Here is a 3,704-nt window from a genome sequence, read left to right as displayed (position 1 = left end):
ATAAAATTTCCCCAAGATTTTAAATAAACTGATCAATAAATAATCATCAAAACAGCAATATCCAGTAGAATATATTGTGGGTATTAACATTTTTAGAAGCCACATTAAGAAAAGTAAATTATATTTTGATAATATATATTTGATAAAATATTTCATTTAACCAATATTTCTAAAAGCATACCATTTCAACACCTAGTCAATAAAACATTATTGATAATATATTTTAACTCTTTCATACAAGTATTGAAAATCCTGTGTATATTTTATGCTTAAAGCATATATCAATTTAGACTAGCCACTTTTCAAGTGTTCAGTATTCACAGATGGCTAGTGGCTACATTAGTGAGAATAGCCTCAGAAATGACCCCAATTTGCAAACTGGAAAATTTTCATAAATGATTACCTTAGTTATTTTGTAATGGTATGTATATTCCTTTTTATATTTGAAGATTAACTAACTTTGACATATGATAATTGATTGTGTGACAGCTTCTCCATAAAAGATCATCTTCAAATACATGGGAAATAATTTGGATTTATTTATCACTATTATCACTCTTATTAAAGAATTTTTATATTATAGCAGTTGCTCTAATGTATCAAAAATATACATTTATTTGATTGAATACATGCATTAAATACTATTTTTCACATCTTATTTAATGTAATCTTTAAATATTTGTAATAGCATTAACTGGTCCAAGTTTTTCACTTGTAGATTTTAAAGTATTTCAAAAGGATTCCAAATGAAAATTTTTAGCTCTTCATTTCAATATTCAACCTTTTTAAAAATTAAGTGATTATGTGAACAAAAGACTTTTTTTGTATCATGAAATCACAGCTTAGTGTCATTTTGAAATTAGAATTTTAGGAAGTGTGTATTACTTGAATTTATGTTAAAGACACTGTATAATTTTTGTGAAGACCTTTAATCTGTCCTCAGATAACAAAAATAGATATTTAAATTACTTTCTTTTATTTTAGGTAGTAATCAACATCATGAAATTCTGAAAGACTGGTATGTGGCATGCAGGCAAAGATTTTCAATTCAAATACCTTGTGTGTTTTGGTGGAATTACACTTAATTGGAATAGTAGATTTTTGAAAGATATTCAATATCTCATATCAGAAGACAAATCTTATTCACTATGAACAAATTCTAAAGATAATAAAAAACTCTTTTGCTAACCCATGATGTAACATTATTTGATATTTTATCATGATTAGCACTCTTTGAACATTTTATAGTTTAAGGACCCATGATTTATGTATCTTTAAATTACTCATAAATATACTTAATAAAGTGTTTTTACATAACACACTCTCTTTAAGTGATAAATGAAACATGATACATTAGCTAACAAAATTATTAATTTTTAAAACAATCACTTCATAAGAGAATGATCCACATGAACAACATCCTTGGCCAGCAACTCAATGCTCTTCCTCTTCTGTAAATTGATCTATAAGGAGACAATATTTTCTTATTTATTTGTTTATTTATTTATTTTGAGATGGAGTCTGGCTCTGTCGCCCAGGCTGGAGTGCAGTGGCGCAATCTCGGCTCACTGCAAGCTCCACCTCCCAGGTTCATGCCATTCTCCTGCCTCAGCCTCCCCAGCAGCTGAGACTACAGGGGCACACCACCACACCTGGCTAATTTTTTGTATTTTTAGTAGAGATGGGGTTTCACCGTGTTAGCCAGGATGGTCTCGATCTCCTGACCTTGTGATCCGCCCACCTCGGCCTTCCACAGTGCTGGGATTACAGGCGTGGGCTACCGTGCCCAGCCAGACAATATTTTCTATGATAACTTTTTACCAGGACATTTTCTGTTCTTAAAATATTTGTTTGTATATTTTAATAAAATGCTCTTCAAATGATTGCTAAAATATTCATTTTAAATAAAACCTTTATTATATCATCAGACAACCTTTTACTTATTATATTTAACCTTAGTTGAAAAATAATATACTTACTGAAAATGTACATTGTACTTTTAGAAACGTTAATACAAAACAATGAAGTGTATATAAAGAATAATTTTTGAAGTAATTTTTATTTCTGATTTTTATAGGTACACAGTAAGTGTATATAATTATGAGTTACACGAGATATTTCGATACAGGTATCCAATGTGTAATAATCACATCAGGGTAAATGTGGTATCCATCACCTCAATCACTTATCCTTTGTGTTACAAACAATCCAATTAAACACTTTCCGTTATTTTAAAAGGTACAATTAATTTGTTTTTCACTGTGGTCACGTTGTTGTGCTAGCAAATAGTAGGTTTCATTTATTCTTTTTTTTTGTACTAAAAATACTTGTAATTACAGAATAATTTTAGAAATAATGTGGATAGAATGAATAAAATGTTGCCTTTCAGTAGCTTGACTGTAATCTTTATACAGGTAACTACCACATTTGACAATACTTAATTCCCAAGAAAGCAAACATTCTTATTAAATTAAATTAACATTTTATAGTGCAAAATTTATTTTGTTTCAAAAGTATGGTGCATCTACAGTACAGTTTCTACAAAGTTATTTATTTTTATTTATTTATTTGTTTAATAAAAAGAGACAGGGTCTCATTTGATTGCCCAGGCTTGTCTCAAACTTCTGGGCTCAAGACATCCTCCTGGCTTGTCCTCCTAAAGTGCTAGGATTGCAGGTGTGAGTCACCATGCCCAGGCTATAAAGTTTGAATACCTTTATCTACTAAATAAATATCAGACACAAAAAAAGAAAAAAATGAATCACTATGGCTTATTTAGAGCAGAGAGTAAATAAGGTGTTTATTGAATGAATGTATGATTAACATAAGTAAATGTCTTTATGATGTTAATGAGTTGGTTTTAAATACTCAAATGAATAAAGTTGTTATTTATCTCTAAGTGAATGTGGGGCTTTGCAGACATAATGGTGTATTTGTTATCATGGGCCTAGTGGAAAGGTGAAGAACAAAATCCTGTTAATGTCTATCTACATAGCCTCATTTTGGGTGTTTTCTTTTAACAATCCATCCTCAGAAGAAGAGATTGCATTTGTTTGTAGATGTCTAGGAGATTGTGACATGCTGAGGGTGAGGATTTGCAAAGCAGGGAAGAAAGAGTAACCGCAGGCTTGGAAAGGAAGAGTTTGCAGAGTTAAGTGTGAATGTGTTAGGAAAGCCACAGGAATGGGGTGAAAAAGCTATTATCTTATATCAGTTGCTTTCTCACAAGGAACGTAAGAGAGCAACACTAACCTGTTGAATGGTCAATTCTCAACCAGTAAATACAACACTATGCAATTTGCAAAATATCTAGGTTTTTGTGTTATTAGTCTGCTCTCACACTGCTATAGAGATACTAATTTATAAAGAGAAGAGGTTTAATTGACTCACAGTTATGCATGGCTGGGGAGGCTTTAGGAAACTTACAATCATGGTGGAAGGTGAAGGGGAAGCAAGGCACATCTTACAAGGCTATGGGCAAGAGAGAGAAAACATAGGGGAAACTGCCACTTTTAAACCATCAGATCTCCCGAGAACTCCCTCATTATCAGGAGAACACCATGGAAGAAATTGTCACCTGTTCCAATCACCTCCCACCAGTTCCCTTCCTCCACACATGGGTATTACAATTTCGGATGAAATTCGGGTGGGGACACGAAGACAAACCACACCAGCTTTCAATCACATTTTGTAACCTTTGGTCA

At 31.9% G+C, this 3,704-nt stretch overlaps 1 annotated feature.

Annotated features, from left to right (window-relative positions):
• Nucleotides 2,791-3,305: an enhancer, noted in NCBI's record as "NANOG hESC enhancer chr4:29950070-29950584 (GRCh37/hg19 assembly coordinates)". NCBI's record gives its function as "activates a minimal SCP1, AML or CMV promoter by ChIP-STARR-seq in primed H9 embryonic stem cells {active_cell/tissue: H9 hESC(primed)}" and the evidence as "EXISTENCE:reporter gene assay evidence [ECO:0000049][PMID:30033119]".

The sequence above is a fragment of the Homo sapiens genome, chromosome 4 (genome assembly GCF_000001405.40).
Source record: "Homo sapiens chromosome 4, GRCh38.p14 Primary Assembly".
Taxonomy (NCBI): domain Eukaryota; kingdom Metazoa; phylum Chordata; class Mammalia; order Primates; family Hominidae; genus Homo; species Homo sapiens.
The sequence above is the reverse complement of the archived record's forward strand: the minus strand, read 5'-3'. Positions and strand labels throughout refer to the sequence as shown.